Here is a 14,406-nt window from a genome sequence, read left to right on the forward strand (position 1 = left end):
GGGTGGGGGGCACACACAGGGCAGCGGCTGGGGTGTGCGGAGGAGGTGCTGCTGCAGAAGCTGGGAGGGTATGGGGTGGGCATGGGGTAGCCATGCAGGGGGCGGCCTCACGGGATCTCTATAAAGCAGAAGAACTTGGTGTTCTAGTGAAAGTGCTCCTTAGGACACCCTGAGGCACTGCGGGATGTGGCACTGCCTCCTCCAGCCAATCCTGCAGCCTTCAGACTGACAGGCACTCCAGCCACAATGGGTCCCAGCTCCTCAAACACCAGGCGCCTCCACTGCTTAAATCCAGAGTCAAGCCCCACCAGCCCCACTGCCGTCCAGGCCCTGATCTGGGCTTTGTCAGAGCACGGGGTGATGGACTGTTTCTACTGCCTGCACATTCTCACCTGTCTCCTGGTCTCAGCTCCCCACCTGGGCCCTAAGCTCACTGGGGGTGGGGTGGAGCCGTGACCTGCACATCCCTGTGTTGCCCTGTGAGCCCGGGGACACAGCCCCGCTGCAGAGAGGAAGCCCGTGACGGGCGGATCCCGACTGCACTTGCTCACTGCATCCGGGCTCTGGCTCCACTGCTCATGAGCTGCATAATCTTGGCCAAGTTAAAACTTGTCTAAGCCTTAGTTTCCACACCTAAAAAAGGGGAATTATAATTCGTATTCTGCCAAACACACATAAAAAGATTCTGAAAACCAAAAAGCAGCTAAGTTTTCAATATCATTTCATAATAGGGAAAACAAGGATCGTAGGCCCGGGGGAGGTGGAGCCCGGACAGGAACCCAGGCCCATTGGCCCCTCAGCTGCTGTGGACCGGATGTACCCTGCTGCCAGCCCTGCCTCTTCCCCAGGTGGGGAGGACTGGAACTTGGGTCTCACCTGAATCTCCTGTGCCCCTCGATTCTTGACAAACTTGTCCATCCTCTGGCGCAGGTCTCCCACGAGGGGCTGGGAGCGCAGGGAGGCCCCGGGCTCCGGCCCTTCCTTCAGCTTCTTCTCCAGCATGGAGAAGCCATCCATCAGCTGGGACAGAACCAGGGCCAGGGGCGCGCTGGGGCTCTGAGGGTAAGGGCCGAGAGGCGGGTGAACGGGGCTGCCCCTGGGGAAGACGTGCCAACCCTAAGCATCATCAGGGCAGGGTGAGGGGCTCTCCTACCCTGGTCAGGAGCACCAGGTTGATGCCCTGCCACAGGGGCAGGCAGTACATGGTGTGGGGCACTAGGGGGCAGTAGCTTTCCTTCACGTTGGCATCCAGGAAGATCCTTCTGGGGCCGGAAGGCACAGGGCAGTGGGGAACCAGTGTTTGGAGGGTGTCCTCTGCTATCTACAGAGGAAGAAGAGCTGCAGTGAGAGGTGGGATCCCTAAGTTGGACCCACCCATTGCGGCCCTATCTGTGAACCACAAGAAATAATCATTTTTAGCTCCAAGAAACTCCAGTTTTTAAATTCCTGCACTCTGCTGAACCTGCCCTCGCAGCTCCAGTTTCGCTGTTGCCCCTCTCCCTCAGCTGCTCCTGGGCCTTTCTGCCCAGAGTCTGGCCCGGGTGCCAAGCAGGGCAGTGGGCAGGGGCAGAGGGGCTGGGTGGTGGCACAGAGGACCGAGAAGGCAGGGAAACACTCGTGGATGGGGAGTGGACGGGGAGAGGTCCCCTCCCCACATTTGCAACAGATGGAGGTATCTAATGTTCAACATTGTATCATTTCAATCACCCTCAGAACATCCCAACAGCCACTCAAATTGGGGAAACTGAGGCATAAAGTGACCAAATGGGCAAGGCTCCAGCCTTACAGAGGGATCTAAGCAAGAAAGCCTTTAGTGCAAAAAATTATAGAATTAAGGAAATCATGAGAGATGCCACAAAAATTCCTCTTCAGTGTCATACCTAACAGCAAACACTGGACACATGACGCGATTTTCCTGGGGATTTGCTAGATAAATAACATATGCATGTGATGGACTACCAATCATTACAAACCACACTGTGGGAGTGCTTAGGAAATGGAAAAATGTTTAAATAAAAAAGTATAATGAAACACGTTAGTATCCAAATCTGATTTTAAAAATACACATGTGTACATATGTAGTGTGTGTGTGTGTGTGTGTGTGTGTGTGTGTGTAAAGTCATAGGAAAAAAAGACTAGAAGGAAACACCCCAAGATGTTAATCTCATTTTGAGGACGGGATTAAGAGTAATTTTTATTCCCTTTTTTATAGTTTACTTTTGTATTTCCCGATTTTTCTACAATAAATATACATGCTCACTTAAAAAAAAAATTCTATTGGACTTTCACTCCCAAGAACAATGGAGCTGAGGGACAGCACCTGGGGGAGGGGAGGGGCAAGTTCGCCACCCCTCACAGCCCATTCCTGGACCCTGCCTCTGGGCTGAGCTCTGGCACCAGGACAGGCACCTGCACTGACCAGCCCTGGGGTGGGCAGGAGGAGGGCTGGCACGGGTAGAGTCACCCTGGAGGCGAAACCCTCAGAGCCCCCAATACTCACTGCGGCATCTCAGATCAGCTGGCGCCCAGGCAGGCACAGGAGAAACTCACCTGAAGGGCATCCATGGGGGGGGTGCCCCCCTCCAGCCAGATGGTGCTACCTGCAGGCCACAGGTAATAACATAACGATGTAAGTACCATGAGATGTAAGCAATGGCTCAACAGCATGGGGTAGGGGGCCCAGGTGCCCCCCACAACCTCAGCCCTTGGCTGCCAGCTCCACGCAGGGGTGCTAATGTGGCTGGGGCAACACCCCTTCATCCTAAGTTGGCAGGCACAAGGTGAACTCTGCAGTACCAGGGCTAAGGCGGCCTGGGCCTGGCAGAGAAGCTGCCCCCAGAGCCAGCTGCTGAGAATCAAGCTCCTGAGGACATGTTTGGTAATGGTGGTCAGGGGGTAGAGGGGCATCTTCCTCCCCCCTCCCTTGCCCCCAATCCCCTCCTTGTTCTGTCCCCTGTATTCCTTCAGGCCTCAACCCGCCCCTCAGGAGTCAGCACACACAGTCCACGTTTGCCCATTCATTTATTCAACCGGCAAGCTCTTACTGAGCACCTGCTGTGTGCTGGGAATTGAGGTGGATTTCCTTCCTAATATAACGCACAAAAACCTACTGAACCCACCACATATCTGAAATATTATGTGTCTGTAATAATACTGTTACCTCTTATATTTCATTGCAAACAACCCTCATTTATAATCATGTTTCTTTGGGGGAAGTGTGTTCCTACATCTTAAACACCTGATTTACAAATGGATGAGTGCAACCCAAACCATTTGTAAGTTGTGAGTTCTCTGCACGGTGGAACAGCATTATTTTTTACAGTTTTAAGGCATAAAAAACCACTATCAAGAGAGAGGGACTGGGAGGAAGATGGTGATGAATGAGGAAGGGAGTGGTAAGAGGAACTTCGGAGATTACCCAGAACTCTGCTTCTCAACAGGTCTCAGGCTCATCAAGAGCTCAGGGAATCTGAAGATAGCTAGGAACCCTCACCCCAGGAATGCACAGGCATCAGTGAGTTCACACACAGTCTCAGGGGGTCCTAGGCTTCTAGCCAGACCTAAAGTTAAAAGCATCTAACCCAGTGGTTGTCAACCTTGGCTACACACGAAAATCATTTGGGGACTTTTACAAAATCCTGACGCCCAGGGCATAGCTCAGACCAACTGAGTCAGCATCTCCGGGTACAGGCTCAGCTTCAATAATTGTTAAAGATCCCCAGGTGAGTTCAATATGCAGCCAGGGGGCAAAGCATGCTGTAACCTAAATCTGTGCACAGCAGTGGTTTGCACCCGAGGCACACTGAACTCACCTGGGAAAATTTCCTAGAAGTATTCACACCTGGGTCCCAGGCCCACAGACTGTAACTTAATTGGGCTGGCTGAAGCTGCCTGGTGATTCCAATGTGCCAGGGTTGGGTTAAAAGCAGCCACATAATAAATTCCTTTCAAATCCTAGTCCCCAGTAGGTTTCTCCTCCTGAAACCCTGGCCTTCTTTCTTCCATCAGATGATGTGGAGGGACCACAGGACCCTTTTTTTTTTTTTTTTTTACCTAAGAACTTCAGAAATAAATGTAATGTTTATTCATAGTGACCACAACAGTCTGGATTTTGGTTTATCTACTTCTCTAAGCAAGGTTGTCCATTTTTTGTTAACATTTTGAATATTTGTAGTTTTGTTTTGTTTTTTTTTTTGAGACAGAGTCTTGCTCTGTCGCCCAGGCTGGAGTGCAGTGGCATGATCTTGGCTCACTGCAACCTCCACCTCCCGGGTTCAAGCGATTCTCCTGCCTCAGCCTCCCGAGTAGCTGGGATTACAGGCGCCTGCCACCAGACCTGGCTAATTTTTGTATTTTTAGTAGACATGGGGTTTCGCCATGTTGGCCAGGCTAGTCTCAAACTCCTGACCTCAGGTGATCTACCCGCCTCGGCCTCCCAAAGTGCTGGGATTACAGGCGTGAGCCACCACACCTCAACCATTTTGAATATTTATAGTTTTTTTTTATTGTTTACCCACATACTTTGGAGAAACAAAGTATAAACTACAGATGCTGAATATATTTTAGAATGTATAGAAATTAGATGATTATTACTAAATTTAACTTAATTTTTAATTTTAATTACAAAAAAGATGAGTCTGAGAATGCATGTACAGAAGTTTTAAATGAATCAACTTGTCATCAACAGCTTTAGGGATCAGTGGAGTGGTCTTAACAATCCTTGAGTTCAGGCTGGAGCTGGCAGGGAAGATGGGGAGCCGCAGACAGCGTCCTGTGCTCTAGGAACACGGGTACCTGCACTCAAGCCTTAGGAGGCACGGGGGTCCACTGGAGCCTAAGACAGATGTCCTGGGCTGCCTGTCGCTCGCAGCTAGCTATTGTTTCCTCCTGCTTTCCTCCGGTCCTCACCTGAGCTCTGATCGCCAGGGGAAGGAGCTGGTGTGAAGTACTCCTCAGGGAGGGAGAAGCTGTCTGTCTCCTGGAATGGAGAAGGTGGCTCAGGTTGAGAGGCTCTCCCAGCTGGCTCAACCCTGTCCCTGCTCTCCCAGGAGGGATGGGAAAGGCCTGGTCGCCTGCAGAGGCCGATCCCCTCCTGCCCCTGACTCCACGAAGTGCACAGCACACACCGTCTCTGCAGAGCTCCCCCCAGTTGGGCCCGTGGAGTGAGGGCTCCAGGCCTGCTGCACGGGGATGTTCTGGCTGCTCCGGGCCCTCCGCGGGGAAGGCTGTGCAGGGCAGGGGAGAGGCTGGTTAGCTCCTATCTGACCTGGCTCCCTCCACCCCTTCTGCCTCCCAGCGCTTCACAGAGAAGCCTCCACCCCTCCACCCCTCCACCCGTTCCGGGTGCAGTCCTGGGTGTGTGGTCCTCAGACTTCCCAGGGATTCGATTCTAGGCGGTCTGTTCTGTGGAAATTCGAGAAATTCCAACACAATGGTATCCAACCCACCACTACCCCTGGTGATGAGGTCAACAGCGATGGTGGTGGCTGACACTCACTAAGCATTCACTATGCCCCAGGCAGTGCCAGGTTCTGTGGGAACCACCCCTTTTGTCCCTCCAAATACCCCTGAGAAGTAGATGCTTTGTTATTCCCATTGCACAGATAAGGGCACTGAGGCTCTGGGGGTGCAAGTACGGGCTCAGCTCACACAGCCAGGTGTTGAAGCTGGGTTTCGAACCATGGCTGACTTGAAAAATCTGCACTTTTAACCCACTGGACCATGTGCACTCCAGAATTCCCCTTACATCTGAAAGCAGTGGGAAAGAAGTCACGCCCAACCACACACCCAGAATTGTGACTTAGAAAACATGGAGTCCCCAGGGGGAGCCTGCCCACCATCTTCAGGCAGGTTTTCTGAACTACCTCCCTAATGGCCTCCCTCTGCCCAGAAAGCTGCCCTGAGACCTGAATGTCGTCCTCTGCTGTGCTCTCGCTGGGGTAGAGGTCCTGAACCAGGAGGATGAGGGCAAGCAGGTCGGCCGGGCGCAGGGAGCTGGCACTGTGGCTGCAGACACAGGAGCATGGCCACCCATCAGCACATGCCCAGCAGGAGACGGGGCAGGCAGGTTAAAGGAGTGTGGAGCCTGGCCCCTGCCCTCAAGGAGCAATGTACTTCTGGAGATGGGCAAGGCACAAATACAATTAATTAACTCGTCAAATTTCAAAATAAAACTTGGTTGTATAGAACAAAGAAAAGAAAATGATTTAGCAGTGGGAAAGCACCAGGGACCAAGAACAACATAAAAGGAAGTTCTAGATTGAGACTCTAAGACAGTGTTCCAGGAAGGAATGATACAGAGAAATGGGTGAGCTGAAAAAGGTTGGAGAATCAAATCTGGGAAGGTTTCAGGCTTCATGGAGGAGGTGATTCTTGGCTGGGCAGGTGGTGCTTTTCAGGCAGAGGCCATAGGGGAGTGAGAAGGCCAGGGAGCCTTTAGCCACCACATGCCAGACCTTGAGCTCACCTAGAGTAGAATGCCAGCAGCTTGGAGTGCACGAGCAGGAAGGCATGCAGGGCCTCCTCGCCTCCCCGCTCGGGGCTGGTGTTGACAGCCTGGATGACGTGCCGCTCCAGCGCCTCTATGCACAGCTCACAGAGCTGGGGGTGAATCAGTCGCTCCAGGGCCTAGCCAGGGCAGGAAGGGAGAGGAAGCCATATCACCAACAACCTTGCCCCACTCCAAGCCCTGGGCTAGTGGGGACATTCACTCTGTCCACAGTGAGCTTGGACTCTGCACCAGATACTTGGAAACAGGGGGACTAAGACCCACCAGGTCCCAGCCTTCCTGAGGCTTACTGTCTGGTCACTAGACTCCAGTGGATGAGGCAAGGCAATACACAAGGAAATAAAGTAAGTGCCATTTGTAAGTAAGCACCAAGTACAAAATACACAGCACTAGGCTAGAGAGAAATAGCAGAGACCTCCTTGGGTAGGGTGTCCAAAGAAATGTCCCTGAATTAGGTCACCTTTAAACTAATATCTAAACAACCAGATGGCCCACCAGAGAAAGAGGGAGAGAGAGAACACTGCAAGTCAAGGAGACTGCATATTCAGAGGCCATGAGATGGGGACAGAGTTTGCAATGGTGCTGTCCAACAGAAATAAAAGAAAGGCCCTATGCATAATTTAAATGTTTCCAGTGACCACATTAAAAAAGTAAAAAGAAACAGTTGACATTAATTTTAATGATATATTTCATTTTACTGAATATATCCAAAATATTATCACCATATGATATAAAAGCCTTATTAATGGAATGTTTTACATTCTTTTTTGTGCTAAGTTACCAAAATCTGGTATATATTTCACATGCATAGCATAACTCAATTTGCACTAGTTATATTTCAAATGTTCAACAGCCACATGCAGCTAATGACTATCATATTGGACAGATCTAAATATAGAGTTTTCCTGAAACTTAAAGAAGTTTCATGTGACTAGCACTCAGTAAGCGTGGACAAGAGAGGCATAAGATGAAGCTAGAGTGAAATAGGCAGCGATAGATCACACAGGGCCTGGTAGGCTTGGGAAGAGTTTGGATTTTATGCTAATGGCATTAGGTCACCTCCTAAAAGAAGTCTTTCCTAATGTCCCAGAAAGAGTTTACCACTCCATCTCTTGTGCCACCATAGCTTTTGATGAAAAACCTAATATGGCACCAGGATTCTTTATTATATCTTTTAGTATATACATGGCTGATTTCCCCTCAAGGGCAGTGAATATGTCTTTATTCATCTCTTTATTCCCATGGCCTGGCACACCTCTTAGCATATAATAGGTACTATATGTTTATTGGAAGAGTGAATGAGTGGGGGTATGAGAATGAATTCCTTCAGATCTATTTTCCAGCTCATTAATTCTCCCTCTAGCTATGTCTCATCTGCTATTTAACACATCCCTTGAGTTTTTCATTTTAACAACTATGTTTTCTTTTCTAAAATATCTGTACGTGTTCTTTTTCAAATTTGCCTGGTCAATTTAGAGTTTCTTCTTATCTCATTTTGTGATTCTACATTTCATATTTTTAAATATTTCATAGTTATTTTATATTCTATACCTAATAGTTCCAATGTATCAAGTGCCTTGGGATCTAAATCTGTTGGTGATTGATTTTCCTGACTCTCACTCGTGGTGGCTTATTTTCTTCCATATCTGATTTTCTTCAGTTGTGAGTTCACGTTTGTTTGATCTTTACCTTTCCTGCTCTAGCAGTGGTTTTCAAAGTGTGGTTCCTGGACAAGCACAATAAACAGCACCTGGGAATTTTTTAGAAATGGAAGTTCTAGGGCCGGGCACTGTGGCTCATGCCTGTAATCCCAGCACTTTGGGAGGCCGAGTGGGCAGATCATGAGGTCAGGAGTTCGAGACCAGCCTGACCAACATAGTGAAACCCCGTCTCTACTAAAAATACAAAAATTAGCCAGGCGTGGTGGCACGTGCCTGTAATCCCAGCTACTCAGGAGGCTGAGGCAGGAGAATTGCTTGAACCCGGGAAGCAGAGGTCACAGTGAGCCAAGATTGCTCCACTGCACTCCAGCCTGGGCAACAGAGCGAGACTCCATCTCAAAAAAAAAAAAAAAAAAGAAATGCAAGTTCTAGAGCCCCCATCCCAGACTCGCTAAATGAGAAAAGCTGAAAGTGAGGCCCAGTAACCTGTATTTAACAAGCCCTACAGAGGATTCTGACACACACTGGAGTATGAAAACCACTGCTTGAAAGAGAATTTGGTTTACCTCTTTAGGAAGGCAAGGAGTGCTACTGACCAGCAGCCACTTTAGTTTTTATTTTTAATTTTTTAGTTTTTTATTTACTAGGGCTTTATAAAAGGACCAGTAGCCACTTTAACTTTTTGGGGCTGGGCTTAACCTAGAGTTGCAGGCTCAGCTCTCCTATGCTGCTGCTGGCCTAAGGCTATTTACTGGCTGTAGTGCTGGTATCATTTGCACTCAGGGAATCTTGCCTTTAGCGCTGTGTTTTTCTCCACTGCTTTCCCCTCCAGTTCCAGCTCAATATAATTTTGTGGGAAAAGGAGGGGAGGGTTGAAGGAACTGTCTTCAAAGATTCCTGTAATTTACAGTGAACCCAAAAATTGCATTAAAAGTATGTGTTATCCAGGATCGAGCTGTTTTACCATGGGAAAGCCCATCAGGGTACCCAACCCTCCATATGGCCAGAAAGAACAACTCTCTCTGAATACACGAGTTTCAGGGGCTGCTTGTGCCTTCATTCATTAGGGTTAAAACATGGTCTTAAAGGTGGACGCCCCCTCTGACCTGACAGCTTCAAGTCCTGAGGACTCCCGCGCCCAGTAGTCACCTCCACGGCGAAGCACTGCTCCTGCTCCCGCAGGCGGCTGTAGGTCCACAGCAGGCTCTGGAAGTGCTCCCACAGCTGGACACGCTGCGCCAGGTCTGGGGGCCGCAGCCTGGGGGCAGAGCCAGAGAGGGCGGGAGAGATCACAAGAAAGCTGGTCTCCCCCACACCCAACCAAAGGACCACAGTCTCAGCTCAGCATCAGAGCTTGGTGAGCCCATATGACCTGCCCACACAGCTGGGAAAGGGGGCCAGGTTTCCGGCCGAGCTCTAACTGTGGAGTGGGGTGGGATAGGCACGGAGCCGGAAGGCAGGCAGCTGAGCAAATCACCTCACTCCTCAGCCTCTGTCACACAAACACATGTCATACAAAGCCAGCTAGAGAGAGCCAGGGTGATGCTTAAGCTTCTCACACAGAGGCCACTGAACACAGAAAGATCTGGTCCATCATCAGGGCCCTACTCAGGGTCGCAGCCATCTCGGATGCTGGCAACGTCTGCACTGGCCACTGTGATTCATGTAACAGGCATCTGCCACCTGCAGCATTTGCCACTGACACCATGACCTATCTGGGCTAAAATGACTCATGAAACAATGTTTGTGCATTTGAGAAATGCCTCAATATGGGTAGTTGCTCATATCGCCACAAAACTAAAGTCCCAGAGCTTCACACTCCGCAGCTTCCCAATCCATCTTAGAGAATCAGGGGGTGGTGATACTACGAACTTCTCTTTTCTAGGTCTACATTTCAACTACAAGCCTTTTCTGGGGTCCCTCCCACCTCAGTGTATACTCTGAACCATGATTCTCTTTCCCCAAGTTCTTTACTGTGGGCCCAGAGACAGGTTTTAAGGTCTGTCTCCTGAGAAAACCTTCACGAGACTGTATGAATGTGCATGGGTTTGTGTTTTTCTGGAGAGAGAGTCTGAAGCTTGAGAAGCCAGAGAGGACTAGCTCAGACCAGATTTGTAATGACGGGTGATGATGTTGGGAGGATGGAAAGAGCACTGGACTGAGAGTCCTGAGCTCAAATATCCAGTTTGGATGTGGCCACCAACCAGCTAGATGACCCCAGGCAAGTGAGTTCCATTCTCTGCTCTGTTTCACCAGATATAAAGTCAGAGGGTCAGACCAGATGGTCTCCAAGGTTCACTTGAGCTGTTTCTCTGACCTAGGGACCCAGCTGGGGGCAGTATGTGAAAAATGGCAGCTTCACAGGGGCTGGGCACACGCTGCCTGGCCCAGCGAGGGTGCTCGGCAAAGGACAGAGGGGACCAGCTTTGAAGACTCACTCCTTTCGGATAAGATGACCGTCCACAGTCACCAGCCCAAAGTGCACTTCAAACAGGTACTTGAGCACATACAGCTTCCGCCGCAGGTCCCCCTCGCTCTCGGTGTGGTCACCATTGATGGCAATGAACAGGCATTCTCCAAACTGCAGGCACAGGCAGGCCAGTGTCAGCCAGCCCCAAGGGCACTCCCTTCACCTGCCCTGGTCTCTGCAGACAAGCCAGGGGAGGCTCGGGTCCCAGGCGGGTTTGATAAGATGCCGTTTCTGCCTTCTAAAGGAGTCTAAAGTTCCAAATAAGAGAGGCCTGTGGACTCCCCATCAAGCTGAGGGAAGAGGAACATGGGCCCCAGAGCTATAGACTCACCAGGTGAAGGACATACAGGAAGTTGCCATTTTCCGTGGAGAAGCAGGTGTAGGTGTCCGAGAGCTTCTCCAGCATCGTCATGGAGGAGATGATGACCGGGGCTAGGAGGGTGCTGAGCTGGTCCTCCAGGGCAGGGAGCTGCAAAAATGGGGGAAAATTTCACAGCTTAGAGTGGGCCAGACACCAAGAACTAAGGAAGGGACAAGATCAGGCCTTGATATCAAGGGTTCCATAGTGTTAGACCCTCCTGGGAGGGTATCACTGTCCTGGTAGGGAGGGGAGCAAAAAGAGACTGTCCCCAACACTTCGGGTGGTGGTTAGGAAGAATGGGGAGGGCCAGCTGGGTAATGGTGCTGTTTAGGCTCTGAATCTAGAAGGAAACATTAAGGAATTGGGCCTCATTACAACAGTGGAATGTGGGGAGCACTGAACGGGGAGCTGGAAGGAAGTTTGTAGCATGTACCAAAGTCTATGCTGTTTTTTGCAATAAGTCTACTTTGGAAAATTTGTCCTAAGGAAAATGATCAGAGATTGGGACAAAGATACATGCACAAAGATGTTCACTACTGCCTAATTTATAATAGCAAACAACTGGAAAAAAAATGTTAACATCTAGTATCAGGGAAATAGTTAAATAAATAGCAGCACATCAAAATTATGGAAGGGTCTATAGCCACTTAAAATATTAGAGTGTTTCAATGACATGGAAAATTCCTCTGATACAATGTTGTAGCTAAAAATAAAACAAGAATGTGAATGCATAGAAAAAACGAAGTATTGATAAAATACTGAGAAAGCCAACACTATTAAAGTTACTTCTGGATAGAGGAATTAGGAGTGATTTTTTTCCCTCTATTTTTAAGTATGTTTCTGTACTTTTCCTATTTTCCATAACAAGCCTGCATTGACTTTGATAAGCTCTTCCTCCATCCATTCTCTCAGCTCTCCAAAAGAAGGAACAAAACAAATAAACAAAAACAAAAAGGAACTGGACAAGTTTGTTGCAAATGTGTGAATAAAATGGGATAAAGCCAGTGGAACAGTTACAACTCAAATTCTCCGTAGTGGAATAAAAAGAAAGGAAGAAAACAGCAGACTTCCCAAGAAGATTTCAGGAGACGTGAATGAAATATGGGGAAGGCACAGTCCTAACTTGGAGCTGGGGAAGTCTACAAGAAGCTGAGTAAGACCTTGCCTTGAAAAGAAAGACAGGCAACTGGCCAGCGGGAAGGTGCAGCATTGAAGTACAAGTGGGACACAGCACTATGGAGTAGGTTTTCCTGCCAACATTCGGGAACCAAGGACTGTACCCAGCTCCCACAGTTAGTCTGTCCAGCTTTCACAGTGGCTCCTACTTATCATTCTGGTTCCAGCTCAGATTTTTTTTTTTCTGGCCACCTCAGGCTACCGCCCTCCACCTCTGTCACTCCCCATCCCATACCCCATTTAACTTCTCCAGACTATTTGTCACTATCTGAACTCATGGTACTTATTTGCCATCTGGTTCACTGTACAATGTCCTTCTTTAGACTCTAAGTTCCATGAAAGCAAGGATCATGTTGCTACGTTTACTGCTTTACCCCGAGAGACTGGCACATGGTAGGTTCCCAATTAATATTTGGTTAATGAATACCCCACAGATAGGCGAGAATTCCATAAACAGGCAAGAATTCAAATATTTGCTGAATTATTCATATACCATGATTTTCTTGAACAAATTTTATTAATAGAGAAGTCACTTATGAATCTAGATGTTGATAGAAACTCATCGTAAAAGCAGTATAGTCACATACTGAAGAGCAATGTTTTGGTCAGCAACAGACCACGCATGATAGTGGCCCCATAAGATTATACTGCTTTATTTTTGCTATACCTTCTCTATGTTCATTCAGATACACAAACATTTCCATTGTGTTACAACTGCCTGCAGTATTCAGTACAGTCACATGCTGTAGGTTTGCAGCCTAGGAGCAACAGGCCATACTGTACAGCCTAGGTGTGTAGTTGGCTACACCATCTAGGTTTGTGTAAGCACACACTATGATGTTCACATGACAAGGAAATCACCTAATGATGAGTTTGTTATTAACAGAATGTATCACCATCATTAAGCAGGGCATGACTATAGCTTTTTCTGCAGGAATAGAACTTTTTTTTGGTGAGGGGATGACATGGTTAAGCTTTGTGTCCCCATCAAATCTCATCTTGACTTGTAATCCCCATAATCCCCACGTGTCAAGGGAGACCTGGTGGAGATAACTGAATCATGGGGGTGGTTCCCCCAGGCTGTTCTCAACTTGTTCTCATGAAAATGAGTGAGTCCTCACCAGATCTGATGGTTTTATAAGGGGCTCTTCCCCACTTTTCTTGACACTTCTTCCTGCTGCCTTGCGAAGAAGGTGCCTTGTTTCCCCTTTGCCTTCCACCACGACTGTAAGTTTCCTGAGTTCTCCCCAGCCATGCTGAACTGTGAGTCAATTAAACCTTTTTTCTTTATAAATTACCCAGTCTCAGGCAGTTCTTTATAGTGGTACGAAAACGGACTGACACAGTAAATTGGTACCACAGAGAGTGAGGTGCTACTATAAAGATACCCAAAAATGTGAAAGTGACTTTGAAACTGGGTAACAGGCAGAGGTTGGAACAGTATGGAGGGCTCAGAAGAAAACAGGAAGATGTGGGAAAGTTTGGAACTTCCCAGAGACTCATTGAATGCTTTTGAACAAAATTCTGATAGTGATATGGACAATGAAGTCCAGGCTGAGGTAGTCTCAGATGGAGATGAGGAACTTATTTGGAACTGGAACAAAGGTGACTCTTGTTATGCTTTAGCAAAGAGACCGGCAGCATTTTGCCCCTGCCCTAGAGATCTGTGCAACTTTGAACTTGAGAGAGATGATTTGGGGTGGAAGAAATTTCTAGGTAGCAAAGCATTCAGGGAGTGACTTGGGTGCTCTAAAAAGCACTCAGTTTTATGCATTCACTAATAGATGGTTTGGAATTGGGACTTATGTTTAAAAGGGAAGCAGAACATAAAAGTTTGGAAAATGTGCAGCCTGATGATGCAATAGAAAAGAAAAGCCCATTTTCTGAGGAGAAATTCAAGCCCTGGCTGCAGAAATTTGCATAAATAATGAAGAGCCAAACGTTAATCACCAAGACAATGGGAAAAATGTCTCCAGGGCCTGTCAGAGGTCTTCACAGCAGGCCCTCTCGCCACAGGCCTGGAGGCCTAGGAAGAAAAAACTGTTTCAGGGGTTGGGCCCAGGGCCTTGCTGCTTTGTGCACTCTGGGGACATGGTGCCCTGCGTCCTAGCCATGGCTAAAAGGTGCCAACATATAGCTCTGGCTGTTGTTTCAGACAGTGCAAGCCCCAAGCTTTGGTGACCTACATGTGGTATTGGGCCCACGGGTGCACATAAATCAAAAACTGAGG

At 48.4% G+C, this 14,406-nt stretch overlaps 1 protein-coding gene and 1 non-coding gene across 30 annotated transcripts in view; both read right to left on the minus strand.

Annotated features, from left to right (window-relative positions):
- The window catches only part of HPS1 (HPS1 biogenesis of lysosomal organelles complex 3 subunit 1), a 32,988-nt gene that overhangs the window by 10,717 nt on the left and 7,865 nt on the right, over positions 1–14,406 (minus strand). For 8 of the 29 annotated variants that reach the window (XR_007061961.1, XR_001747098.2, XM_047425147.1 and 5 more), the window contains exons 4-13: positions 10,971–11,108; positions 10,608–10,750; positions 9,319–9,427; positions 6,467–6,627; positions 5,907–6,006; positions 5,127–5,225; positions 4,909–4,978; positions 2,551–2,600; positions 1,154–1,321; positions 877–1,056 (exon numbers count right to left, since the gene is read on the minus strand). Coding sequence is in view for 27 of the 29 variants with exons in the window: in XM_047425147.1 (XP_047281103.1) it covers positions 877–1,056; positions 1,154–1,321; positions 2,551–2,600; positions 4,909–4,978; positions 5,127–5,225; positions 5,907–6,006; positions 6,467–6,627; positions 9,319–9,427; positions 10,608–10,750; positions 10,971–11,108 (1,218 nt within the window). In the remaining 2 variants the exon portion in view is untranslated. Of the gene's footprint in view, positions 1–876; positions 1,057–1,153; positions 1,322–2,550; positions 2,601–4,479; positions 4,979–5,126; positions 5,226–5,906; positions 6,007–6,466; positions 6,628–9,275; positions 9,428–10,607; positions 10,751–10,970; positions 11,109–14,406 lie in introns of those variants that run through there. The other 21 variants (XM_047425149.1, NM_001322480.2, XM_047425148.1 and 18 more) reach the window with 12 other exon arrangements.
- On the minus strand, positions 6,628–6,696 carry MIR4685 (microRNA 4685). Its single transcript, NR_039833.2, has one exon. It is a non-coding gene; the product is annotated as a microRNA 4685 (primary transcript).

The sequence above is a fragment of the Homo sapiens genome, chromosome 10 (assembly GCF_000001405.40).
Source record: "Homo sapiens chromosome 10, GRCh38.p14 Primary Assembly".
Classification (NCBI taxonomy): Eukaryota; Metazoa; Chordata; class Mammalia; order Primates; family Hominidae; genus Homo; species Homo sapiens.